Here is a 27,955-nt window from a genome sequence, read left to right on the forward strand (position 1 = left end):
TTGCTGTCACTTAGTTTGATGCTGTAATTATCTAAGATTTGGCTAGTGGGAGCCCCTTCATCCTGGCTCTTTTATCTTTTGTGACCTGTCTCCATCATTTTTTTGGAGCACTTTCTTACTTTCTGGCACAATAAACTGTTCCAGGTGCACCTTGTGCTTTCCTTGCCCCAGGGCTGGGATCAGCCATTTCTCCAAGGAGCCCTTGGAGAAATGGTTCATTTTAGTAGTGAATGGTATTTAGAAACACGATCTAGGCACTAAGCGTGCTCATTGCTACAGAGTTGTCCTTGCTTTTAGGGCCTCTCAGTAGACAGAGCTAAGAAGTGTATGCGTGTATGTGTGTGTATGTATGCATACACATAGACATTAATTACACATATGCAAACGTGATTGAGATCTCTTTCTGCACCTCTTGGTGATAAAAACCATATGTTTAGACTCAGTGTGTCCAATTCCAATACAGTACCACAGGGTGCATTTTAGTCTTTCCTCTTCCGTATTTGTAATTCCCTTCTCTGACAGTGAAAAACCTGGCTCCTTTTATCCTCCGTATCTTTACTTATTCACTCAATCCTAGAATATGCAGAAAGTAATTTGAGAATGCTAACCCACACCACGGTGATAAATGAACCTCCACCCCCAAGTTTAAACTGTTCAAATCAGCAGTTAGTGGTCAGCTTCTGTTCAGCTCAGTGCCTTGTCAGTTAGTCATCCAAACAAAACAGATGAAGTAATGCTCTGCAGTTCCCCAGGGGCATGTTTAAGAAAAGAGCTGCCAGACTCCATCAACAGCTTACTTTCTGGTGATGTCGGAGCACAAAATTGAAAAATCAGGAGTCGCCAGAGAAGAAAGGGAGATTAATTTCATACAGTTTATAAAAAGGACACCTGTTGTGGGAAAAACAGTTTGTCATCTTCATCTCAATGTACAAATTGCCAAAGAGAAGAAATAAAAAGGAAAGTGTTGAGCCAGTGAGAATGGGTGTGTAGAGGAGGATGGGTCGAGCGGACCTTTCTCAGGGATCCAGTACATTCTACAAGGAGGAGAAGAAGCTGAGTTCATGTGTTGGAGTAAGCTGTGAGTCATGACTTGAAAGACTGTTGCTTACTGCCCTTCATTGACTAAATATTTCTTCCCAGAAACCACCTGCAGTAAATTCAAAGCAGCTATGTTTCTGCCTCAGTGCGGGATTTCTGGGAACTGAGTTTATGTGCAGTCAGTCCCAGAAATCATGGAACGGTGGGTGAGATCTTAGGATTTCATTTGCTGTTCTGTATTTTTCTTTTCTCTCTCTCTTTCTCTCTCTCTCCCCCTCCCCGCCTCCCTCCCTGTGTCTCCCTCTCTCTCCCTGTCTCCCTCTCTCTCCCTGTCTCCCTCTCTCTCCCTGTCTCCCTCTCTCTCCCTGTCTCCCTCTCTCTCCCTGTCTCCCTCTCTCTCCCTGTCTCCCTCTCTCTCCCTGTCTCTCTCTCTCTCCCTGTCTCTCTCTCTCTCTCCCTGTCTCTCTCTTTCTCTCTTTCTTTCGAGACAGGGTCTTGTTCTTGCCCAGGCTGGAGTGCAGTAGTATGATCTCGGCTCACTGCAGCCTCCATCTTCTGGGCTCAAGTGATCCTGCCTCAGTCTCCTAAGTAGCTGAGACTTTGAGCATGTGCCACGACACCCAGCTAATTTTTGTATCTTTTTTTGTAGAGATGGGGTTTCGCCATGTTGCCCAGGCTGGTCTTGAACTCCTGGGCTCAAGCGATCCACCTGCCTCAGTCTCCCAAAGGCTTGAGATTATACACAGGAGCCACTGCACCCAGCCTGTTCTGTGTTTTTCTACATTAAATGATGACACGGATATTACGTCGCTGACTTGGGGAGACAGTCTCAGTTTCATATATTATGTTCTGTACTGCCCATAAACATCCTCATGCTTGTTAGATTGTGTTCTGGAAAATTTGGCCTCTGTATTTCTAGCAACCCTTTCTATGATGACACATTTTAGCAAGAAAAAAAATCATAATTTGCTTATTAATATTTTAATGGAGAAGGGCTTTTGATATTAGAAAACTGGGAATAGGCCGGGCGCTGTGGCTCACACCTGTAATCCCAGCACTTTAGGAGCCCGAAGCATGCGGATCACGAGGTCAAGAGATCGAGACCATCCTGGCCAACGTGGTGAAACCCTGTCTCTACTAAAAATATGAAAATTAGCTGAGCGTGGTGGTGCACGCCTGTAGTCCCAGCTACTGGAGAGGCTGAGGCAGAAGAAGCGCTTGAACCCGGGAGGCAGAGGGTGCAGTGAACTGAGATCACGCCACTGCACTACAGCCTGGCGGCAGAGTGAGACTCCGCCTCAAAAAAAAAAAAAATCTGGGAGTAAAAAGTCATGACTAGGGGTAGTGAGAATGACTGCTAATAGGTCAAACATTCTGAGGAAAGTTTTTGAGCTAATGGAGATGTTTTGGAATTAGATAGTGATGAGGCTGGAAACGGTGATTTCTGCCTGTAATCCCAGCATTTTGGGAGGCCAAGGTGGGAGAATCTCTTGAGCCCAGCAGTTTGAGACCAGCCTGGGCAACATAGTGAGATTCAGTATCTACCAAAAATTTAAAATTCGCTGGGCTTGGTGGCGTGCACCTGTAGTCCCAGCTGTTCAAGAGGCTGAGGTGGGAGGATTGCTTGAGCCTAGGAGTTTGAGGCTGTAGTGAGCCATGATTGTGCTACTGCACTCTAGCCTGGGCAACAGAGCGATGACACGCTGTCTCTTAAATAAATAAATAAAAATAAAGAACAAAAAGTCATGGCTAAATGTGTGATACATTTCAGATTTTGAAATAGCTTCAGTTATTGAGTGTTTACTATGTATAAGCCACTTAATTTTCCTACCCCTTACAAAGTAGGCAGTGATAACATTATACCTGAGGAAATGGAACTCAGAGAGGTTTTTTAACTTGCCCCAGCTCAGGTGGCTATAGGGACAAGGTTACCACGCGCACAGTGGGTTCTGCCGGGGGTGGAATCCGCCTGTGCTGGTGTCTCCTACTCTGACGTGCGTCTCTTATGGAGGAATTTGACTCAGTTTTTTCTACTCCCACTCCCCCTCTCCCTTTTTTTGGTGTTAGAAAAAGTGAAATCACCTCTATTTGAAGGAGGGGATTGTGGATAAGATTTGACCAGGTTTCAGTTGTGATTTGATGGCATATTTGGAAATTTTGTGGAAAAACCTGGGTTAACTTTTCAGGAAATCGCAGTCAAAAAAAAAAAAAAAGAGAGAGAGACTTTGCTTCCCTGTAGATTGTTTCAGTCCTGGTGGTGTCTTTTGAGATAGTGAAGAGCATAGCTGAAAAAGTGGAAACTGATGATGCTTTAGCTTTTATTGTTTTTTAAACATTCTGGGAAAGTTGAAGGGAGAGGCAACTTTCTGCTATGCTTCTCCTGAAAGTGATATTAACATTAAAAATCGGTGTCATTGTTTTTCTGCTAGTGTGAGCTTTATATTTTTTTTCTTTTTTTTTTTTTGAGATGGAGTCTTGCTCTGTTGCCAGGCTGGAGTGCAGTGGCACGACCTCGGCTCACTGCAACCTCCATCTCCTGAGCGATACTCCTGCCTCAGCCTCCCGAATAGCTGGGATTACAGGCATGCGCCACCACACCCAGCTCATTTATTTTTGCATTTTTAGTAGAGACAGGGTTTTACCATGTTTGCCAGGATGGTCTCCATCTCTTGACTTCCTGATCTGCCCGCCTCGGCCTCCCAAAGTGCTGGGATTACAGGCGTGAGCCACCGCGTCCGGCCGAGCTTTATATTCTTGAATATTGGAGTCACCTCTGCTCACCAGCATATAGACCGAGACATAGAGTATGTTGTTAGACTCTAAAACAGAAACGGCATTAATTTGCATAAAATCGCATATGCTCTGTTGCAATAATTTTCATTGTGCCTGTTTTAGAATTGAGTTGACACTTCATACAGAGTATTCCAACTCAATTAAAAAAGAGACATCGCAGAAGAATTTGTGTGGCTTTGAAATTTATTTTGGGCACAGTCCCTGAAAGAAATGAGCCTCTAAGGACTTTTGTTCTTTGTGGTGTTTTGAAACCTTCTCGCCAGTTATATACATTAAGAACACGTAGAGCAGGTTGGGGTTGGTCTGCTGGGTAGAATGCCTGCAAAGGGACCAGAGGTCTGTCAGAACAAGAGTCTCTTAGTGCAGTGCCTCCCGCCGGGGGGTGACCTTTTCATGATGTTTGGACTGTCATCTTTGTTTCCCAGTTTCAAATGCCTAGCTCAGAATTATTTAGTGCTTGAAGTGGTTTTCATCTTCAAAGGACGTTATGGACATTATTTAATATACATGACACTGTGTAATGAATGAGCTGTTTATCCCTTGAGTAACGTCAACATGCCAGGTGCCATACAGCTGGAGAAGACAAAAATAATACTCTGTCCAGTGGGAGCTGATAGTCTAAAGAGGCAAGATGATTAGGCAGATTCTCTCTTTTGGCCTCTTTTAAAAATGTGCTGGGGAATAATGTAGAAATTAAAATTATAAAAGATGATCAACTAGCTCAAGTCTACCTAATTGAAATTGCCCTCAAGGTGGAAATGAAATTTGAGATGCTCTTAAAAAGACATCATGTGTTAGCTCCCATTTATCACACATTTACTGGTACACGCCTATTTTACTTGTGTTACAGGTGAGGAATTTGGTGAAGACCAGTGCAGAATTATTCTCAGATCTCCTTCCCGACTCGTCCCTTTCTCCCACTGAAGCTCCTCTTTTTGTTTGCATGGTCTAGGATGGCACTTTGTAACCAAGGCCACATGTGATGCCCAAACATACATTTATTATTTTTTTTGAGATGGAGTCTTGCTCTGTCGCCCAGGCTGGAGTGCAGCGGTGTGATTTTGACTCACTCTATCTTCTGCCTCCTGGGTTCAAGCGATTCTCCTGCCTTAGTCTCCTTGTAACTGGGATTACAGGCATGCGCCACCACACCCGGCTAATTTTTGTATTTTTGTAGAGATGGGGTTTCACCATGTTGGCCAGGCTGGTCTTGAACTCCTGACCTCCAGTGATACACCTTGGCCTCCCAAAGTGCTGGGATTACAGGTGTGAGCTACCATGCCTGGCTCAAACACACATTTCTTAGTTGCAGATCAGTCTGTCCTTTGTAGCTGGGCAGACCTCCTGGGAAACTTGGACTTCTTGCCCCTGTTGGCCTGTGTGTCTTGTGCTCTTGTACCTGTACCTCTTTGTGTTTGCTGTTCCCTCTTCTTCCTGGTTTCCCTTCCTAACTCAGCTCAAACATCCTTTCCTTTGGAAAACTGCACTTGACCATCCTGTCCCAGCCTCTTGAGGCCCATTGGTGTTGGCATGACACTTTGTGAGAACTGGATTCTGGACTGGTTCCTTTGGGTTATAATTGTTCCTTCACTCGTGAGTTTGAGTTGCTGGGACCTCTGACCCCAGCGCCGGCCCAGAGCAGTCCCCAGGTAGAAGTGCAGTAGATGGTTGTTGTGATTTATGCCTGTGGTTCCTTAACTCAGATTTTAGCATAATTACCTGGAAAGTTTTCTTTAAAAATACAGAATCCCTAGAGATTCTGATTTAGTGGTTCTAGATTAGGCCCCTAGAAATGTATTTTGAAAAAACTCTACTTGTAGTTTGTTTTGAGACAGCGTCTCACCCTGTCACCCAGGCTAGAGTTCAGTGGTGTGATTATGGCTTACTGCAGCCTTCACCTTGTGGGCTCAGGCGATCCACCCACCTTAGCCTCCTGAGTAGCTGGGATTGCAGGTGCATACCACTATGCCTGGCTAGTTTTTTGTAGAAATGGGGTCTTGCCATGGAGGCCAGGCAGGTCTCAACCTCCTGGACTCCAGCCATCTGCCTGTCTTGGCCTCCTGAAGTGCTGGGATTCCAGGTGTGAACCGCCATGCCTGGTCTCTACTGGGAATTTAGACGCACAGCTAGGGTTAGGAACCACCGAGTTATGCCAAGGCACAGTATTAGTTGTGGGTTATGGAATCACGGCCAATTTGGAGTAAGGTGTAAGTGCAGTTTGCAGAATCATTCCATTCACATATCTGGAGAGAGTGGAGAAAATGAATGCAGTCCCTTTATGATGAGGATGTGCTCCATGAAGGAGAAGATCCTGGCTCGTGGAGGAGCTTCCTGCTCTGTGAACATACTGAAGGCACAATTGGCCCTTCAAACTCTCATTTGAAGTCACTGTGTTGCCATAGAGATATTGTGTAGTGTTGAAGGAGATTAGAGAAATCATGTCGTAAATTATCAGAACAGATGGCTTGTAATTTAACACTCTTCTAGCCCATATTCTTTGTACTGACCTTGAGAACATTGAAGGTATCAGTTTTTACTTTGTTCTTTTACCTATAAAAATGGCAGAGTTCATATTGAGTGAGATCTAAAATGGGTATTAGATATGCCACATACACAGTGTGGTATGTGAAAGCATTTTAGGAGTGGCTTCCTTAACTTTGCTTGTATATTTTCCCCTCAGTTCCCTGGATATATAGAATAATGAGCCTGTCTTCCTTATTATTTTGATAGCACTGGTCAGGGATCATTTTTATATCCTGGCTTGATGATAATCGTATTCCTTTGCAAGTGCAGTTCTGTTTGCAAGTATTATATGATCATGTAGATTCAGGCAGCATAATCACTTCCAAGGTGTTTTTATATGTCATCAACCACATAAAGGGTATTTTCTTTTTTTTTCTTCTCTTTTGAGACAGTGTCTCTCTCTCTTGCCCAGGCTGGCATGCAGTGGCACGATCTTGGCTCACTGCAGCCTCCACCTCCCAGGTTCAAGTGATTCTCCTGCCTCAGCCTCCTGAGTAGCTGGGAGTACAGGTGTGTACCACCATGCCTGGCTAATTTTTATTTTTTGTTTGTTTGTTTTTTTGTTTTTTAAATTTTACTTTAAGTTCTGGGATACATGTGCAGAACGTGCAGGTTTGTTACATAGGTATACACATGCCGTGGTGGTTTGTTACACCTATCAACTCATCGTCTAGGTTTTAAGCCCTGCATGCATTAGGTATTAGTCCTTATGCCCTCCCTCCCTTTGCCCCCCATCCCTGGACAGGCCCTGGTCCGGTGTGTGATGTTCCCCTCCCTGTGCCCATATCTTCTCATTGTTCAACTCTTACTTATAAGTGAGAACATGTGGTGTTTGGTTTTCTGTTCCTGTGTTAGTTTGCCAAGAATGATGGCTTCCCACTTCATCCATGTCCCTGAAAAGGAAATGAACTCATTCTTTTTTATGGCTGCATAGTATTCTATGGTGTAAATTTTGTATTTTTAGTAGAGACGGGGTTTCACCATGTTGGCCAGGCTGGTCTCGAACCACCTGCCTCAGCTTCTTAAAGTGCTGGGATTATAGGTGTGAGCCACCAGGCCTGGCCAACTAAAGGGTATTTTCTAAAAGGAGACTTCTTTGAAATTTTTTCTGTCTCTCTATTCTAGCCTGGGTCTGATGTGTAAGTCTTAAAAGATTGTATCCTTCATTAAGGACAACTATTGCCTCTTGCAGGGAGCTGCATCCTGATTGGGATTCTGGCACATTCACACATGCACATTGTTGTAGATGACCAGAGTAGATATGTACCTAAAACATTTCAAATTAACAAAATCATAATCCTGTGAGTGTAATTTAAAAATCTAATAAAGCTTACCTTATTTTTAAAGTACTTGTAGTTAGACATATATTAACACAACTATTTCATATGGTTTTATTCTCACATGCTTGAAGTATTCAGGAATCTTAAATAGGCTCTTCATACATTTTCATGAGCCTCATTTCTTATGTGTCATACAGTAGGAAATTAAGTAAGTTTTCCGATCTCCAGATAATTCCTGAGTTGCTCTTGTGTGAATGTGTGTTTTAACTGAATCCAGACATTCATAGTAGTGAGCACTTTCTTTGACTCCTTTTTTACTAGCCTACACTGCTTATACTAATGGGGGTTTCTGATGCCACTCAGCAGTGGGACAGAGAGGTCAGTTGTGAGCCTGACCCTGTTGGATATAGCAATTTTTACCTCAGGATGACACATTCACGTGACTTAAATTCTTTGACACTTCTGTGTCAATGCTAGAAAATTTTTTATAAAAGTGCTAGGTAATTATATCAGAAAGCATCTGAAAAACAGTCTTATCAGAAGGGCTTAGAGCCATTACAGGAGTGAGGGAAATAGTGTGGAAATAAGCTATAATTTCCTTGATGAGCATGTCATACTACAAGACAAGGTTGGCTCAACCTCCTGGTAACTGTCCTGCCCCAGAATGGGCTAGCTCCAGCTTAAATAAATTGGAATCAGATTACCTGGGTATTGAATTGCATGGCTTCAGGAGAGGGTGTTTGGTTCTGTAAAGCCACATGTCATGGTAGTGAGGTGAGACTGATGGTAGTATTTGTTCAAGAATCCGATTTTCATTGAGGGCACAAAGGCTCTGTTGTGCCACGCTCAGGATCTTGTTTTCCTGAGATTGCTTCAGGCAGATTTAAACAATGGCCTCTCAACGTACTGGATTTAAAGAGTAAGTAGTTCTCCATGATCTTATTTCTCATTAGTAGGGAAATGTAAACTTTTACCTTTGGTCAAAATTTTGCTCCTGTCACCTGACCCCCTGATGTCATTATGATTGTCTTTTCCTTGCAGTATTGCCTTGTCAGTTACTCTTGCCAGAGGGATTTCATCATTGGAGTATCTGCATGTCTAAGTCCAATTCAGCTCTTTACATATAGGCCCCATGCCCTAAGTGTTGCTGTCATTTTGCCTGTTTAGTTACTTTACAAACACTAATGGCACGTAAGGCTCCTGGGAACCCTGGGTCTGGAACAGGCACAGGCCACAGAACAGATGGCCCTTGCCAGGTGGTCCTTGGGTGCACAGTGGCTGTGGAGCTGCTGTCTCTCAACAAAGGAAGGAAGGGCACTCTCAGGGAAATCAAATGGATCAAAGCCGTCCCCTTACCCGTGTTGCCCCTTTAAGCCTTCCCAGTAGCTCTACTTTTATTTTTATTTTATTTCAACTTTTATTTTAGATACAGGGGATATACGAGCAGATTTGTTATGTGAGAATATTGCTTGATGCTAAGGTTTGGAATATGGATCCCGTCACCCAGGTAGTGAGCATAGTACCTGATGCGTAGTTTTTAAACCGACACCCTCACCCTCTGGTAGTCCACAGTGTCTAGTGTTCCTGTATTTACGTCCATGCATCCTTAATGTTAGCTCCCACTTATAAGCGAGAACATGCAGTATTTGGTTTTCTGTTCCTGTGTTAATTAAGATTATGGCCTCCAGTTCCATCCGTGTTCCTGCAAAAGACATGATTTCATTCTTTTTTAATCAATGCGTAGTATTCCATGGTGTATATGTACCACCTTTTCTTTATCCAGTCTACCATTGGCGGGCACGTGGGTTGACTTCATGTCTTTGCTGTTGTGAATAGTGCAGCTGTATTTTTATTTTATTCTTCCTGTTGACCCTCTGTCTGTCTTTCTGAGGCTCTGTGTCTCTGTGGACCCTTCAAAGGGACTTTCCTTTGTTTAGGAGAGTGACTCATCCTGAGGTCATTCTCAACCTTTCCTTGGGAAGGGATGTAGCCCTTCGCAGACAGAGCTGCATTTGCCCAGAAGTAAGCATTTTCACAAAGGCCCCTGGATCCCAGGTGCCCTCCTGCACAGTGAACTCTACCGGTGGTGTCATTCTTAGCCTTGTGGGTCTGGGTTTCCCAGCCTCCAGAGGTAGGAACGCCAACCATCCTGGGATGGTAGGTGGCCGCTAGGCCCAGATGGACTGCATCCAGACCTGCTGAGTGAATGAATGCCTTTCTTCTGTAAATGGACTCCTTATCATTCTGTTTTAGCTCCTCTTTTTCTCATTTCTTCCTTTCTCCTGCATTTCTCTTGTTTCTCATTCTTCTTTGACCACTTAAGAGTGACGGTGTCACTCATGGCCATTGCCCATTGCTAAACTGTGCTGGAGGCAGTTAGAGATGAGTCTGATTTGTGGGGCAGGAATTTAGGGGGATGCTCCCGGTGGAGAGTCTGTTGGATTCTGCATTAGCACCTCACTACAGACTTCACCTGGGGGTAAGCCGTGCCTGGGGGGCACCCCCTTCTTTTCTGCCCCAAGGCCCTGGGTCTGAGCCTGTCTTCTTCTGCATGTCCCCTTCCTGTCTCTCAGTCGTCCCGTCACTTAGTGGGGTCTCTTGACACTTAATTCTCTTACTGCTTGATCCCAATCCCCTTTAAGCACAGTTTTGTCTGATTTAAAATTTGCATTTTATGGTGATCTTAATAGATTTGGCTTAGCAAATAAGTGTGATGCTTCTTAATTTCGGGGTAATTTAATCCCTTTTTCTAAATTGTGGTATATTATTCCTTAAAAATTGTTTTGGCTCAGTTGCCCTGGTGTCATGTGATTTCTTCTTGACGTTTTCTTTTCCGAGCTGCAGTTCATGTTGAGGTTAACTCCTACTCATCCCTCTGCCCCGAGTGCTCAGCACATAGTCAGTGCTTAGTAAGTGTTCACCAAAAGCAAGAACAAGCGCTTGCTGCATCCCCAAGTCCAGTGGCCAGTTTCCCTGTCTCAGGAGGCTGGTGGGACGTGGTAACTATTGAGCCAGCAAAACTGGGCCAGAGGCTGGGCCATTTTATGGTGTAATGTCCTCTCCAGTAGAAATTCATGAGAGGGGAAAAAGGAGAAAGGGAGACGGTAGATTCTTACGGATGAGGTGTGCGTGTCTGTGGAATATGGGCATAGGCAGCAGTGGAGAAGGGAGGTCTCAGCAAAAGCAGCTACCCCTGTTTGTTGGGCTGTGTTCACTTGGCAAGTTGCTGTGGATCTAACTGCTGTTCACTGTTAATAATTAGTCCTCAAGCGCCCATTCTTGGGCTTATGTCTTCTGCACAATTCCTCAGTCTCTAGATTGACCAGGCTCCCCGTGGACCCTAATTAATATTTTCTGACCGATCACTGGGTTTGATCAGTCAATGGAGGGTGAAGAAGCATCCATTATCAGGTTTCCTTTGAGATTTAAGATCTAGTTGCCTCTGGTGTTTCTATTATGTGTTAATGAGTTGATTTCTGTTTCCTAATGATTAGGCTGTGGAACAGTAACTCTGGGGGGAAGATGGCATTGGTAAGATTTGCTAAGTTCTTGGGTATATTTTTACAGGAGTATGTTCCATGAGCCCGTTAAGAATGTTCCAGGTCTTGCCCTGTCTCCCCATTTCCATACTTCACTTCCATTTTTAGGACTTCTCCCCAGCGTCAAAACTTTATTTACACGAACCTGAAAGCAGGCTGCAGGGCTGTTTGAAATCACACACGTCAATATGAGGCCAACCCAGTTTTTCATAAATAGGTCAGATTGTTTCTATAAAGCAGGATTCCAAAAACAGTCTTGTTAAAGAAAAAGTATTTTAAGAAAAGATACCCATTGTTTAAATCTTAACCCTATTGCCTAGGGCTTGGGATAATACTAGTACTAGAAAATGCTGATTTCTGGGGCCTGCCTTGGAAGAACTGAGACTTGCCCCAGACATCATGAAGAGAAAGCTTGCAGGCCACATGTACTAAGATCCGGGGATAGGTGTGAGTCAGAGGCTGGGCAAGGGCCTCTAAGGAGCTCTTGGTGCCCTTGAAGAGGAGCATGGTTCTGGGTGGATGCACCATGAAGGGCTGTTACTGGCAGCATTCACTAGTCCCCCTGACCCACCACCAGTGGAACAAGTACCCTTGCTTTACCTAAATACTGAACATTCATTTCTTACTTAGTAGAGATTGACTTAAATCTCTTTTTTTTAAATTGTGCTTTTTAATCTATATATCAGAATCATCTGATAATTGTGTGATACTGAGGAGGTATTTAAGCCATAGCAAATCAGGAAGGGAAGAAGCTAAGATGGGGTTTACAAGATAGTTCTTCACATGTGTCTGAAATTAGTACTCTTAAGAATGTTACTAATTTCTGGCAGGATCCCTGGAAAAGTTTCTAGAACAATTGGAAGAGAAGCCAGAATAGCTGTGAAAAATGGCGGTGTTCACAGGTGTAAATACTCACAGCCTCACACTCAAGTGTGTCATCCTGAAATCAGTGAAATGCTCTCACTGATTTCATGGACCTTATCATCCGTGAGAACTGGATATGCCACGTGTTTAATTCATGACTGAGTTTTATGTGCTGTTCACACAGCCTAATGCAAGACATTCACTTGAAGAAGTTTACCCTGAAATCCCCCAAATAGGGAGGTCCCACGTAGGTGAACTAAATAGGCTCTCTACAAGTACATTACTCATATTTTTAAAATAGGAGATTCCCAAGTGGATCTGGCTATTGGCCAACAGAATGAGACTTACACAGCCTGATATAAATCGGTTCATTTCTCCTTGTACTGTAGTTGATTTTCAGGAGGATTGATGTGCAATTTATTGTTTGTCTGCAGCAGAATGACTTGTATGGCTCTGGGTGCTGTTTTCTAGTGCTGTGTTTGTGGTGCATGTCTTCTTCCTGTTTCTTCTGATTCTGAGTTCCGCCCTTTTTAGCTAGCATTCAGTTGGTCTGGCTTTATTTGACTTCTTTGACTTGGTGAGTGCCATGGTTTGTGAGTTATACTATCATTTGTGGTTTAAACATTTCAGTTTTTGTTACTATATGTCCATCTATGTGGCCATCTTCTCATTTTAATTACCAATACATGTTTCAGCTTGCTTTTTGGAAAAAGTGTTGAGATGCAAATGTGTCTTTGGAAGTGTCACTGAGAAACCCAAGGTCTATCTGGCATTCCGCTCCTGGCGGCAGACCGTAGTCTTTGTCCACGGGTTGGGAAGAGAGCTGTGAAACAGGGAGGCCTTGCCGACTGTCCTACCTGCAATCTGGACTTTGCACATGGAGCCTCTACTTAGGGGATTAGTTTTTTGACTACTGCTGTTTGATTTTTGCTTTTTAATTGGGTTATTTGAGGTGAATGCATGGTTTAGGTTTCTCGTTCTTTGTGTTGGACAGAATTAAAGGGAAATTTGAGACATCCTGGTCTACTTATGTTCAACTCCGTTATATTCTTTTTTAATGGGCAATAAAACTGCCTTTTTTTTTTTTTTTTACTTTTCTCTTTTTTAGATGGAAGGTTCCCCATTTTTATTTTTACATCACGTTCTTCCTCATACAGTTTTCTTCAACAGTACCAAGAGTCGTATTTTTAAGAAAGTGTCTCTAAATTTTCTTTGCTTTTGTAGGACTATGTCATTTCTGATGATCATTAATTGGTATGCCTAACTCTCCCCTTTGACCCAGGTATTACTAATATTGACTGAAAGATGGAAAATTTCAAAGATGGAAAATTTGGATTACTGCTGTGTCTTTACCATTGAGTCCCAGGAAATAACTTGCCCAGTTTCATAAATTCTTAGACGTTGGTTTCTCTTGTGATTGTCAAGTCTTTGGTGTTCTTTACTTTATTCACCTGGACCACTTGAGTTGTTATTCATCGAACACACACGTGTGTGTGACATGAAGTATAACTTGTTCACCCTTACTTTGTGCAGTGGTGGTAATAAAATTGTTTTAAACCTCTTAATTATGGTTTTTCATGTTGGATTCACTGTGAGTTCTTAAAAAAAAGGATCACCCACTGATGGATTCAAATCTACCTTTGGAAAATTAAAGTGATAAGCACTTAATGGCATTTTGGGATTAGCTTGAGAATATCTGTAAGTTGATTGTACTTGAAACATGCAGTTGTGTTGTGACCATCTGTAGAGTGATGTGGTAATTAGGCAAAGCATTTTAGAAAGGCTTTATTACTAAAAACAAGTGGTAGCTAGTTTTCATAGGCAAAGGAGACAGTCTTTTAGAAAAGTGGTGTTCCAGGTGATTTAATGGAAAGCCAATGAAATTGGGGAGAGGGAGAGGGAGAGGGAAAAGGTGAAAGAAGTTCTGAAGTCAGGCTGCTTGGCAGGCACCGAGGGAATTGACTGATGGAGCTCATCTGTAATCCTGGGATGCGTTTTCTGTGTTTTATCCAAACCAGCGATTTTTGTTATAACATGTTTGGAAAGCCTTTTTTTCTTTTTTGGTAAGTTTCCTACTAGACATATAAAAAAGACTTATAAAGTTCTTTGTGAGAGCTTTATAATATAGATAATATCTAGCTTTTTTCTTTCGTAATTAAAAAATTCAATGGAGAGATTATAGTAGTTTGTATATACTGTAGTTAGAAAGGTTTGGTTTTGTTTAAAATTGTTGTACATTTGCTTTTGGTAATCTTTAGTTGCTTGAACCCTCCACCCTTCAGTTTAACTTTTATTTAAAACAATCTTTGATTCTTATTCATGCATTGAACATTGGCTGAGAACCTGCTATGTGCTAAACAGTCACTAAAAGTGAAGCTTCTCTCTCTTTTTTTTTTTTTTTTTTGGAGAAGTCTTGCTTTGTCGCCTAGCCTGGAGTGCAGTGGTGCAATCTTGGCTCACTGCAACGTCCACCTCCTGGGTTCAGGTGATTCTCCTGCCTCAGCCTCCCGAGTAGCTGGGATTACAGGCGTGCTCCACCATGCCTGGCTAATTTTTGTACTTTAGTCGAGACGGGGTTTCACCATGTTGGCCAGCGTGGTCTGGAACTCCTGACTTCAGTGATCCTCTCGCCTTCGCTTCCCAAAGTGCTGGGATTACAGGAGTGAACCTCTGTGCCTGGCTCGAGATGTAATATATTCTCTTGAAAGATAATATTACATCTAGGGAACTATCTTTATCACTTTATTTAACTATTTACATTGAAAATACTAGAATAAAATATAAGTACATATTTGTTTTTAACTTAATATACAATTTCAGTGTTAGATGAAATGAAGATGGAATATTAACAATGTATAAGTAATGAAAAATTACTGAAACTTGACTCTGTTTTAGCATTCCAAATCTTAAATTATATTCCTTGCCCTAAAATAAAATATCATGAAGATATTTTGGGTGAACAGTTGGAAATTGTTACAATTCTAGAGTATTAAAGATACCAAGAACATTCAGAGGATCCAGCCGAACCTGACTTGCCCAAGAAAATAAGTAAATCATTTAGTTTGTCACTTCAGTTTGCATGACCACAAAGAACTGTACACGCAATGAGTTATTACATTGTTATAGAAGAAACAAAATATTTTATAATAGTTTGCCAAAAATATCATGCCATTATGAGAAAAACCTGTTGACTAAGTCGGCCTTTGGTCACAGTAAATAATCACTGCTTTTGACCAAAACTGCAGGAATGTAAATCTACGTTTTTCAGTGTTTGAAAGACTTTAAAATTGCACCATATAAGGTAATGCTGGCTAACTAAACTTTATAACATTTGAATGTAGACCATAAGCTGATGAGCCGGAGGTCAAAATTAGATAGCTGTAAATTATTTGGGCTAATGAAGGATAAAGGTAGAGTTTAGCCAAACACTGTTCTTATGTAGTCTTATCACCGGTGGAGGTACAGATGGATATCACCCACAGAGGTGTGGGTAGGTTGCTTCAGAATTAATTTTTTAAGAAACTGTTAAGTAATAGAGTATCTGAAACTGGACTGTGTTTAAGGACTACTTAGTTGCTGTTGCTGGGTATTATTCAGTCTTAAGCTTCTTCCTGGTTATAAAATTAAAAAGCAAGAAAGAGACGGCAGGAAGGAGCGGGGTGGGGGGATGGTCGGTGGTTAGTAGATATGTGGACCTAGAGTAGCCTTTTCAGCCAGTTTGGGTTGTGAAATACTGCTGAGTGCTTATGTGGCCAAGTTCTGTAGTTATAGAAGATTATGTATACACACTCTTTTCCATTTTGCAAAAGTGAGCAAAGATATCCTTGTATGCAAGGTGTCATAATCCCATTCCTCTTATGTTTTGAAAAGAATTACATACACCTGCAGATAAGTTGAGTAGTGCATTGAGCATCTGAATACCCTTCCCTTCAATTCACTGTTAACTTTTTGCCAATCTGTTCTCTCTCTTTCTATCTTTTATATTCATTAGGACACTAATAAGCACTGCAGCATTACTAAGCTGTGAGTTACTTTTGCTTGAAGTCAGTGTCAGTTAGGTTTTAGAAAGATTGTGCATATTTTTGTTTTAATTTGTCTTGAGGGCAGATTTTGGGCTTAAAAATACCTCTGTAACTGAATAGCCAAGCAGTACTTGCCCCTGAGAAGCAGGAAGTGCAGCAGATTTAGTAGAAATGCTTGAACAAATCTAGCGTCTTGGTTGAAATTGACTAAAGTTCCAAAATAACTAAACAGTGTCACAGAGAGTAGTGACAGGCAGACTCATCTCAGAAGCAGTGGCTCCTGTCTTCTGAGTGACAGTCACTTTCAAGTGGCAGTCAGAGTGTTGACCAGGCACACAGAATAAAGCCCCTTCTGTTGAAGAACTGGCTTAATGGAGTGGGACAGGTTAACAACAGTTGATTAAACCAAAACACAACTCTAACCAGGCAGAAACACATTTGGTCACAATAACAGGGGGGATGATATCAAACCGGAGTGTTGTGGCTATGCAGTGAAGTGCGGAATTAGAGGTGGAGCCTTCGTGGCATCACTGAGGTGGAAGGCTTTTTCAAGACCATTGGATTCAGTTAAACAAATGAGTTGTAGAATGGGGATAAGCTGAGGGATAAGTAATCCCATCCTTTACGGAACATATTTTTTGGAGGTGGAACTGGATACAGCAAATTACAGCATACAGAATAACATAGGTGCTATCTTGAGGCAGGTGTCATATCCTTGAGCCTGCTGAGGGATCAGAGTGGACTCTGGAAGAGCTGGCCTTTGAGTGGGGCTGTGAAAGATCAGCGGTGGAGCGAATAGTCACTCAAGCCTGCAACTTAGGGTATAGGGAGGAATGGGGTGGCCCACCCACCAGCCCCTCTGATGGCTTCTAAACATTTGCAAGCAGCAAAATCTTTTCCAAAAATGCTTGTTTCAGGGGAAGTTGATCACTAGGCATGGGTAATATGAGAAATGTGACGGTTGGGGTGGTCAGACCTCTTCCTCTAGGAGGTCCAGGAGTATAAGTTACTGAACAGCCATCTCAGATGCTCACATTGTATGTTCCTTTTTTTTTTTTTTTTTTTTTTTTTGGCGGGAGGGAGGATTTATTTTTTTGAGACAGAAACACAGGCTGGAGTGCAGTGGCGAGATCTAGGCTAATTACAACCTTCACCTCCCAGGTTCAAGCAATTCTCCTGCCTCAGCCTCCCGAGTAGCTGGGACTGCAGGCATGCACCACCATGTCCGGCTAAGTTTTTCTATTTTCAGTAGAGACGGGCTTTCACCATGTTGGTCAGGCTCGTCTCCAACTCCTGACCTCAGGTGATCCGCCCGCCTCAGCTTCCCAAAGTGCTGGGATTACAGGTGTGAGTCACCGCGCCTGGCCTGGTAATGTTCTTAAGTGTTCTGTGAGCCGCTAATAAAAATCACCTTGTCTTCATTTACAGAAGCAATAAGCCCACTGTTTTTTGTTTTGTTTTTTGTTTTTCCTAGGAGGCTACAGGCAATCAGGAATAATTAGATAAGGATTGGGGGCACCGTTCATTTCAGTAAGAGCAGAATCGAAGAGCTCTACGCTTAGGACAGATTAAGAGACTGACTTCACCCACTTAGGCTGATAATGTAATTTTGGTTTTCTATGTTTGCTTATTGCTAATTAAAAGCAGTAACAGTGATAGAAGAGCACAGAGGTTTGCTTTGTTTTCCACATGTAAATTAGAAGCGTCTGTCTCTGTGACTGTTACTCTCCTGTAGTAGTTTGTATAAATGTAGAGCCACATGCTGTCTGTATGTCTTGGCTGTTCTCTTGAAATACCCAGTAGTGCTGCCCAAATGGCCAGCAGTGAGCACCAGCGGCTGCAAGTCCATTTATGCAAGGCTGTTGTAGGAAAGTAAGACAGAGAAATATGTCTGCTGACATGTGAGGTCACTAAAGTATAGATTCTTTGTGTACTGTTTAGAGAGATCCACTTGATAGAGCTGCTGATTTATGGAGAAATGAGCGCTAGTTGCCTTCCACCCGTGTGGCTGTAACCTTCTGTTGCTGTGGTTGTTAACAGTCCCCATGTTGAGCAGGAGCATGCAGAGTTTGCCCTACGCTTTCAGAGCCTCACTTAGTTAAGGCACTTTTGGTTGCTGGAGCAAAAAAGGAAATTTATTTTCAGAATAAAGAATCCTCTGAGCTAACCCGAGGGAAGGTGGTATAACCCCACCTCACCCCAAGAGGAACTGCTGCGAGTGGGAACAGGCAAGCCCCAGCAAAGCTGCTCCAAGTTTGTTTCTGTTTCCTGTTTCTCCCTAGGGGTCGGCTTTATGCCCGCCTGCCTCTCTATCTACCCAGTCAACTTCCTCTCACCTTCCTAGTTCAAGACAGGATTGATGAGCAACCCTGAAAAGTTTCACATTTCTGATGGTCACGTGATGGGTCAGGCCATCTGGTCAGCAGTCGTCAGGGTCGTATACAACACACACAAGGCTGCGGGCCTGAACCCTTGCCCCAAGAAGATTCTGCCACAGAGTTTATGGCCCCAGTTAAGAAGATGTTCTTTGATCACTTTTTGTGACATTCCCTCCATAGGTAGAGGTCAGATCGCCAAATAAATAATAGTATCTAGAGTCAGGGATTTTAGTCTACAGTCGAGACCTATGAATTTTGGTAGGAAATAAATGAATTATATCTTTATTTTCGTGGATCTCAATAAAATTCAGTATTTCTTTCAATTGTGAATGTAGTTCTAGCAGTATCTGTGACTTTTCACCTGTGGATACTGCAGATATTTTTAATCGACATTAATTATTACAGATCTCTCAAAATGTTGTTCATGCTCATCACTTCAAAACTGTAGAAGTTACTAGAATGACTGCTATTTTCATTTAATGTGTGGTAAAGATGCACATATTACTTTAAAATCTTTTGATGATCATTACTATTTTTTTTAGATATAATTGGTTTTCTGGTTAAGTTTCTCTATGCACTTAAAAACAGTGTTCTGAGAAGAGCTTCATAAGTTTCACCAGATTGCCACTAGTTAGAAATATACTACTCCCCCAAAATTGCTGGTTGGAATTGAGATTACAGTTTTCTCTTTATGGCTGTCAGGATTTAAATTTTTCTTTTTTTCTTAAAGTTTTGGGATACATGTGCAGAATGTGCAGGTTTGTTACATAGCACATATACATGTGCAGGATTCAAATGCTTTCTAAAAGGCGTTTTCTAATTCCTTTCCAGTTTTTTCCACTCCTTACTTAGAACTTCTTTGTCCCTTTCAACAATTCCTACTTCCTTTAATGTTTTAATATCTAGTAATAGATTCCATTTTTTGTTTGCTTTTTGCTGCGTAAATTATACATTCTTTGGAGCTAAAGATTCTAGATTATTATAGTATTGAAAGTTAGAGATATGTCTAGATACAAAACTAGATCTGGGAACATAACCCCAGATGGGGAAGCACCATATATTTTGCAAGCTTGTGTTTCTCAATGTTAGAAATGATGAGACTCAGAATAAAGCTTACTTATATCTACCTGGGCATTTTAAATAAAACTAGTTTTATTTAAAACTAGTCACATTGAAAATTACACAAATATTTGGGAAACTCCCCTGTACAATAATGTAGCCTATTTCTAACATAGAATACTATACATGCATTTAGTGAGAGCTCCGCAAAATCTGTGCGAGTCATGAAAATAGACGGGATACCTAGACTGCTAATGTCCTGGGTTGGGGAGATACACCTTATGAAAGAAAAGTTCACAAAGTGTCATGTTACAGTAAAAGTATTTCCTTTGCATCAATACTGATTTGTGAAGAATATCTGAAGGTTAATGCATTTGAGAATACCAAATATCAACCATAATTCTTATTTAAAAATACATTGTATGCTAATTCCTTAGAAAAGCCAGGCAGGGTGGCATATGTCTGTAATTCCAGCACTTTGGGAAGCTGAGGTGGGACGATCACTTGAGTCGAGGAGGAGTTCAAGGCCAGCCTGGGCAACAAAGTGAGACCCACCCTGTCTCTGTTAAAAACAAATTCAGTTCATTCTTTCTTTAAAGACAGAGTCAGGCTGGGCTTGGTGGCTCACACCTGTAATCCCAGCACTTTGGGAAGCTGAGGCGGGCGGATCACGAGGTCAGGAGATCGAGATCATCCTGGCTAACACGGTGAAACCCCGTCTCTACTAAAAATAAAAAAATTAGCCGGACATGGTGGCGGGCGCCTGTAGTCCCAGCTACTCAGGAGGCCGAGGCAGGAGAATGGCGTGAACCCGGGAGGCGGAGCTTACAGTGAGCCGAGATCGCGCCACCGCACCCCAGCCTGGGTGACACAGCGAGACTCTGTCTCAAAAAAAAAACAACAGAGTCTTGCTCTGTTGCCTAGGCTGGAGGCACAGTCACTGCTCACTGCAGCCTCGATTTTCTGGGCTCAGGCAGTCCTCCTACCTCAGCCTCCCGAGTACCTGGGATTGCAGCCGTGTGCCACCACACCTGACTAATTTTTGTATTTTTTTGTAGCGGTGGAGTTTCACCAACCAAGTTGCCTTGGCCGGTCTTGAACTCCTACCCACTTGGCCTCCCAAAGTGCTGGGATTAGAGGCGGGAGCCACCATGCCCAGCCTCAGTTCATTCTTTTAAAGATGATTTTAAAATTTAGAAACATGAACTTTTCAAAAGTAACATTTTTTGCTTACTGTTAAGTAAATGGAAAGAGCCAAAACATTTAATTTTTCTTAAGTCACAGGCACTTGAAAATCTGGTTTTAACTTTTCTTTATGGCCATTAAATATTTTATGCACATATTACAGGGTTGATAATATTATAATAGATTCATTTTAGAAATGAAACACTTGACCATTACATTTAGTTTTTATAAGAATATTCTTAGGTAAGCACAAACAACCTGTTTTCAAACACTGTGTGTCCAGCTTTACATACTGTAATTGGGTTCCATGGACTCTGCCCTGAGGTTTGAGCGCCCAGGGCACTCATGGGTTGACAGTGGTGAGCATACAGTTATGCCCCAGGAGGGCAGGTGATTTATTCTGGAATTCACTTGAGTGTTGAAAACAGATTATTATTTATGTTATATACGTGAGAAAACTCTTACAAGCCACCACTTTTAAGTTTTGCTTTTAGTGGCTTATATTTCACAAGTTTAAAGGGCACTTTTAAATTTTTTTTGGTAATCACCGGGATATGAGCAGATGTTATGAAAATCTTCTTATGGGGATTTTCAAACATAGAGGTCTTTTTAGTGACATGCACTTCTGGCACTTGTGTGAATTTCATGATAATTCTTGGTATCTGACTGCTCTGAAACGCACCATCCTAGGTTTGTACCATCCTTGCTGGAGCTCCTGTTCTGGAACCTGGGTGTCTTCAAGGATAGCCCAGGATTCTTGTACTTTTAAGCCTGCTACCTGTGGTTTATGATCAGATAGGAAATTTAAGAACAACAACAACAAAAAAAGCTAACAGGGTAGAGAGAGAATATTGCCGGGCTGACTGGCTTCCATCCCTCGCTGGGTCCCAGAGCCCAGGACCCCTTGGAGAGGAAGAACCACTCCTCCTGTCTCCTGCCCAGAGGTCTCCCACTTCTCATCAGTCCCTGGGCTTGGGTGCCTAGGAGTTTCCCTTCTGCCTGTCTTGAGGGCTGAGTATATGGACTGCAGGAAGGAGGGGCTGCTTTGCATCTTCATGCTAATGCAAGACTTTCTCTGGAATTTTCACAGGCCCATTATTAAACAGAAAAGCAAAATCGGTCCTCACCATACCGTGGCTTGGCTCTGTTTCTAATGCACTGCAAGTATTTTATCAACATTGTCTACTTTTTTGTTTTACTTGATTATTTTATATTTATTCACCATTTAATTTAATATTACAGATACTGTTTGTCATGTGTTTGGCTTTTGTGTTTGCTTTTAACAAATACTCTTGTATTCATGGTTTTCCTTGTTTGTGGAGTAATTCATTTTGCCACTTCTTTTAACCATTCTTCCCTAAAAATAGTCTGCTAGGGCAGAGATTCCATTCGGCCTTTATTACTTTGGATTTGCCAAACAAGCAGCAGAAACAGAGTTGTACGTGTGGTCCTACACCACAAGGATTTTTAAGAGAGGTCATTTGTAGGTGATGGTTGTTGACACAGGAATGCTGTCAATTAAAAAAGGGGAGAAAATGAATAATATTCAAATTTACTGGCATAGAGATGTTTGCACAGATTCCATGTGAGAGACGTAGGCTGTTAATCTTGTGTTCTGGCCGCATGTTAGGAACCCTCTTATGGTGTGGATAAAAAGCCTTGTGCCTGCCTGGTATTAGAAAGGTGACAGGTGTTGCTGTCAAATATTGATGCTTTGATATCTTCACATTTCTTGATAAGCTGACCGCGTAATTGTCTAAACAGAGATGGTGTTGAGAGTGAAAGAGGGTGTTACCAATAATTATTCTAGAACAGTAGGGGTAAACTGAGACTGTGTCTGTCAAGCTAGGATGTGTGATGACTCGACCTACTGACTGACCATAGTTTCATAATTCAGTATGTAGAGGGTGAGAGTCATGTGAAGATATTTATGACTCCCACTGGTCATTTTTTGTGGCTCACCCCTAACTTGGATAAAATGATGTTTGACTCAGTCCAGGATACATAAAGGCATGGACAGTTGGCCAAGGAGAGTGGTCACAGGGGTGCTGCTGAGTCAGCACCTCCTGTCAGTGGTGGTCTGTTTGAAAACAGACCTACAGCACATTTGAAGAAGCCTCCTCCCCATAGCCTGGAGTGGCTGAATCGCTCATTTTGTGTGTGAGCTAAGTGTGACTTGAGCCATGAATCAGGATTTGTCAGCCCCCAGGACCTGGCTTGCGTCCTACCCTTCTTTACCAAGAGCTCAGAAGGGGGTCTTTGTACTCCCCCCACCCCCGCAGAAGCCGGGACTGGAGGGTGGTGAGAAAGCCTTTGTCACCGCCTTCCCATTTGGAGTGAGGGAAGAGTTTTGGTCATAGTCCCCTGCTGCTCCCGGCCAGCACGTCGGTGTCCCGTCCTGCCACCCACCCCGCTTTGGCCCCACCCCCCACCTTTGTGGGTCTGGTGTCTCAGAATGGAGAGAGAAATCCTGTTTAGCAGTTAGGTACCCTGTGACTTCTTTACCATGTGCTAGACTCAAACATACGGTGAAGTTAGAGGAATTGTTTTGTATTTGTTCTTAATTACTCTGTAATACTACATTACAATTTTAAAACCATTTTAAAATAAAAATGTATTCTTTTCACTTGTTCTGCCCTCAGAATTCTTCAGTAATATAAATATTTAAATAAATCAACAAAGCTTTTTTTTTTTTTTCTTAAAATCTGGATTTTTTTTAGGGTCTCACTCTGTTGCCCAATTTGGAGCAGTGGCACAATCACGGCTCACTGCAGCCTTGAGCTCCGCTGAAGTGATCCTCCTGCCTCAGCCAGGCATGCATCACGAAGCCCAGCTCAGTTTTTGATTTTTTTTTTTTCTTTTGGTAGCAGTGCAGTTTCACTGTTTTGCCCAGGCTGATCTCGAACTCCTGGGCTCAAGCCATCCTCCCAGCGTGCTGGAATTATAGGCATGAGCCACCACACCCAGCCTCAATCTGGAATTTTACACATATTTTAAGTTCATTTGATTTTTGAACATGTATTGGCTAAATTAATGATTAACTGTCTGGGCATGGTGGCTCAGGTGTGTAATCCCGGCACTCTGGGAGGCTGAGGTGGGTGGATCACCTGAGGTTGGGAGTTTGAGACCAGCCTGGCCAACATGACCAGTAGAAACCTCGTCTCTACTAAAAAAATACAAAATCATTAGCTGGGCGTGGTGGCACGCGCCTATAATCCCAGCCACTCGGGAGGCTGAGGCTGGAGAATCGCTTGAACCCAGGAGGCGGAGGTTGCAGTGAGCTGAGATCGCACCACTGCACTCCAGCTTGGGTGACAGAGCAGGACTCCTGCTCAAAAAAAAAAAAAAAAAAAAAAAAAAAAGATTAACTGTAATATAGATGTGGTAAAGCCTATGCGTTATATTCCCTAGTTTTCTGGCACAACCTCTTAAAGTTACCTGGATCAAAAGCTGGTTACATGCTGATATTTTCAGTCTGTGGCCTGAATTTCCAAACCGATCATTAGATGTTGCCTGGAGCTTCCTATTCTCATTGGATTAAAAAAGATTATTTTGAAGGTAATGGGACAAAAGAAGATAACTGACTTTACAACTTTTTATAAAACTATGCTGAGACTTAGTATTGTTTGAAATGAAAGCTGTTAGTATTCTTAAATAAATAAGGATTGTTTGCCTTCTAAAGAATATAACCTAAATTGTTCCTTTGTAAGAATCACATTTTTAACTTAAATAAAAAAGGCAGACCATGTTGTTAGAAGTGTCTGATCTTTGCATATGAAAATATAGGCCAGACACAATGGCTCATGCCTGTCATCCCAGCAAGTTGAGAGGCCGAGGTGGGAAGATCGCTTGAGGCCAGGAATTTGAGACTAGTCTGGGCAACATAGCAAGATCCTATCTCTACAAAAAAATAAAAAGCTGGGTGTGGTGGCACGCAGTTGCAGTCCTAGCTACTCAGGAGGCTGAGGCAGGAGGATCTCTTGAGCCCAGGAGTTTGAAGCTGCAATGAGCTCTGATTTCATCACTGTACTTCAGCCTGGGTGACAGAGTGAGTGGTCCCATGTCCCCCCAGTGCCCCCACAAAAAAAAAAAAGAAATATAGGTAGGTAGGCAGTTTTAATTTTCTTTTGAAATTTATGATTTGAGTTGGCTTATTTTCTGTATATACTAAAATATTTAATTTTGTCTAGGGAAATCCTTCAGAAAAAAGTTAAGGTATAAAGAACATGCAAGAAAATTGTGTTCATAAACATTCACATTTAGAATTTTCCTTGTTTCCATTATATGGATTATAAAAAAATAACAATGGAATACTACAATGTATTTTTTTTTGTTTCATTCTTCTATTAGCTGTATTTCTTAGGCTCTTACCTTTTTGTAGGACATACAGCTAACACTGCAGACTTAAAAAAAAAAGACATCTTATTTAAGGGATATAGAATTTCTACAAATACCGTATTATTCTTGGATGCCTTAAAGTGTATTAGAGAACCATGAAAAGGAAATGTCCTTTCAGATACTGGCCTGCTTGAAATTTTGTTAGTACTTCTCTGAAGTTTTTGGTGTTTGTTGAAACTAAAATTGTTGTGGGCTGCTTCACCCGAGCCCAGACAAATCTGTAGAACTAGTTATCTGTCACCGTCATCTGTTGTTTCCTGCCTGGGGGGTCCCTGGCACTGTCTGTTAGAACTTCACAGCCATTCTGTGGCCTGCCCAATCTCAGAATCTGTGATGGCCTTTGTGCCAGATTGCAGATGGTCGTGGGCAGGCCTGTGAGTGGATGTGGAGCGTTTCTGGGGGGCGTAGTCTGTGAGATGGCACGTGGGACCACTCACACAGGACCTGTGTCTACGGTTGCCCCCAGGCAGCTGCACTGCAGAAATCCTTTGAGGGCCATTTCAGTGTCCTGAAAACGCTGGCTGCCCCCTGCTTGACTTAGAGACCAATGTCAGGGGTCTGTAAAGGTGGATTAGAGGATTGAGGCCAAGTTCAGAGTCTTGAATGGATGGCAGGAGAAAGAAGAGAAAGTCTGAAGACCACATGGTGGCCACGCCCCTCCCGGCCTGGGCTCTTTTGCATCCCCACTTGCCCTCACTATTCCTTTTCTGGTAGTTTCTACACTCCGGGCTGATGTGGGTCTGAAATTCTAGGTCTGACCTCATAGAACTCTCCAGAATATTCAGTCCTCTGTTTTTAATCTCCTTCTCCCCATCCCCATCCTCCCTGACTTGTATTTAAGAAATTAATATTTTGAATATGAACACCACTTCCCACATATCATTGAATTTCATGTTATTACTTTTGGTTCTTCCTGTTCAAATCTTTGAAGGGCATTTTTTTTTTTTCTTTTCATCCAACACAGTAATGACGTCTCTGAGCTGTGTGGCCTGAAGATTTGATAAACGAGACTTCTCTGTGTTATTCCTCAGGAGCAGGCTCCTCTGGGAAGTGGGAAGGACCCCGGCTCTGCTGTGAGGCTCAGGGAGAGAGAGTGCACGTCCTCCTATTTGGTAGAACCGCCTATTACTCCTTGTTGGTTCCCTCTTAGCTGAGAAAGCATCTTGGTTCCCTGGATCTTAATGTTAGTCTTTGGCTCACTCTTTAGAGATGCTTCTACCTTGGGACAAATTTATATCTGATAGAAATTGTTGTCAGAGTGTAGGTGGAATAGCAAAGTTTTAGAAATGATTGCCTTATCAAATACAATGCAAGTTTCTTCTTGTCCATAGACATAGCTAAAAATCTTGTGGTAATACATACATGATTCAATGACAGTATCAATTCTATGCCTTAATTTTGTTGATAATTAAAGTGTTAAAAATTAGTGAGAAATTTACATGTAGGAGCTTGGTCTGTAAGAAAATGCCATTAATTATTACACTTGCTGTACTTTTTCTCTGATTAAATCTCATGATTTGCTTTTCTTTCTAAGACATTATCTGTTGGAACATTCACTAGCCTTTAAGAATTCCCTTAATTTCTCCTGACAGGTGAAGTGCTCCCTAGGTATGAATTTGGAGTTCTGATGATTTTTAAAAATCCTTCCCTGATTTTCCAGAGATTTCCTAAGGAAAATTGGACCAAATACAGTGGAGACCCCCCCCCCTCCACTTTGCCGTGCACTTTGTTCTAGAGCAAGGGTGGCAGCTACAGGCATTTGCGTGCCCCTGCCTGCAGGCCTGGCTGTAGCGCATCATCCTTTGTGCTCCCTTTCCTCTGAGCTGGGCCAGGGCCCCATCCTTTTCCGCAGGCCTCTGGGCAGCACCAGGTAGACAACAGTGCATCTCTAGGATGGGGCCAGCTGCTCCATGAGCTGGGGAGGTGGGGTCTTCGTTAGGGTTCAGAAGGATGCCTGTTCCTTCTGGCCTCCTGGGGCTAACTCCTTATCACAGCTAGGTTTGTTCCCGGTGGCCTGGACTTTTACAGAAGCTACAACCTTAGTGAGGCTTTCCCTTGCTCCCCTCCGTTGAAAGTCTCTGAACTGCAGTTCTGTGGGACGTATGTTGTGCCCTTGGGAGTCATTTTTTTGTGACTTCTCTCCATCAGCAAGATTGTGATGTAAGCAGGGGCTTTTCTCTCCCCTTCCTTTAATAGTAAGTATGCAGTAAACATATGTATGTTTACATAATGAAAAAATATGTCCTTGGAGACTTGTTGCTTTAAAAGATGCTTAAAAGGGATCAGTTTGTTAAAGTACTCTTTCAGAATAATTATTGCATCCCCTAAAAATGTAAACAAATAAAGTATTACTTTCTTTGACTAAAATTGAAAACAATAAACTCCTCCCTTCCCCCCCAAGAAAAGCCCTAAAGAAACTCTGAGTAATTAAAAAGAGAAAAAAACAGAAAAGAATTTAACATTGCTATTTAACCATCAGAGTCTCATTTTTTTCCCCCTCCATAATGGGTTTGGTTTCAGACTTGGATCAAAAACTGGAACAAAACTTTCTGTGCTGTTTCTGCCCCTCCCGTTTGCTGAGGAGGGAAGGCATGCGGCCGCAGTTACAGCATGCTGGCTGCTCCTCACTGCCCATTTGGGATATCTAGAGGTTGTTTGTTGGTGTTCTGGGATCCTGAGGGACACTGCCAACTGTTAACCTTTGGCAGATAGTGACTGTTTTACTTCGATTTTATTTTCGTGGTAACCGTTTTTTAAAAAAGATTAATAAATTACCCAAGAGGACATGGCAGAAGGTAAGGATGTGTCCCAGACTTTAAAAAATACAGTTCTTATTTTGGCTCTCTGATGTGTGGCTCGAGGGTTTCTCTAGGAGG

General features: G+C 42.3%; 1 protein-coding gene across 9 annotated transcripts in view, besides 3 other annotated features; it reads left to right on the top strand.

Moving 5' to 3' along the window:
• Nucleotides 1-27,955, top strand: part of TRIO (trio Rho guanine nucleotide exchange factor) — a 366,863-nt gene that overhangs the window by 12,744 nt on the left and 326,164 nt on the right. The window contains exon 1 of one of the 9 annotated variants that reach the window (XM_011514109.4): nt 692-27,874. The exons of the other annotated variants lie outside the window; for them this stretch is intronic. Coding sequence (XP_011512411.1) covers nt 27,865-27,874 — 10 coding nt within the window. The 5' untranslated portion in view covers nt 692-27,864. Of the gene's footprint in view, nt 1-691; nt 27,875-27,955 lie in introns of those variants that run through there. 9 annotated transcript variants of the gene reach the window in all.
• Nucleotides 11,455-11,554: an enhancer, noted in NCBI's record as "active region_22387". NCBI's record gives its function as "activates an Ori minimal core promoter by ATAC-STARR-seq in GM12878 lymphoblastoid cells {active_cell/tissue: GM12878}" and the evidence as "EXISTENCE:reporter gene assay evidence [ECO:0000049][PMID:35858748]".
• Nucleotides 12,155-12,204: an enhancer, noted in NCBI's record as "active region_22388". NCBI's record gives its function as "activates an Ori minimal core promoter by ATAC-STARR-seq in GM12878 lymphoblastoid cells {active_cell/tissue: GM12878}" and the evidence as "EXISTENCE:reporter gene assay evidence [ECO:0000049][PMID:35858748]".
• Nucleotides 18,062-18,587: an enhancer, noted in NCBI's record as "H3K27ac-H3K4me1 hESC enhancer chr5:14174256-14174781 (GRCh37/hg19 assembly coordinates)". NCBI's record gives its function as "activates a minimal SCP1, AML or CMV promoter by ChIP-STARR-seq in naive H9 embryonic stem cells {active_cell/tissue: H9 hESC(naive)}" and the evidence as "EXISTENCE:reporter gene assay evidence [ECO:0000049][PMID:30033119]".

This window comes from Homo sapiens, chromosome 5 (genome assembly GCF_000001405.40).
Source record: "Homo sapiens chromosome 5, GRCh38.p14 Primary Assembly".
Classification (NCBI taxonomy): Eukaryota; Metazoa; Chordata; class Mammalia; order Primates; family Hominidae; genus Homo; species Homo sapiens.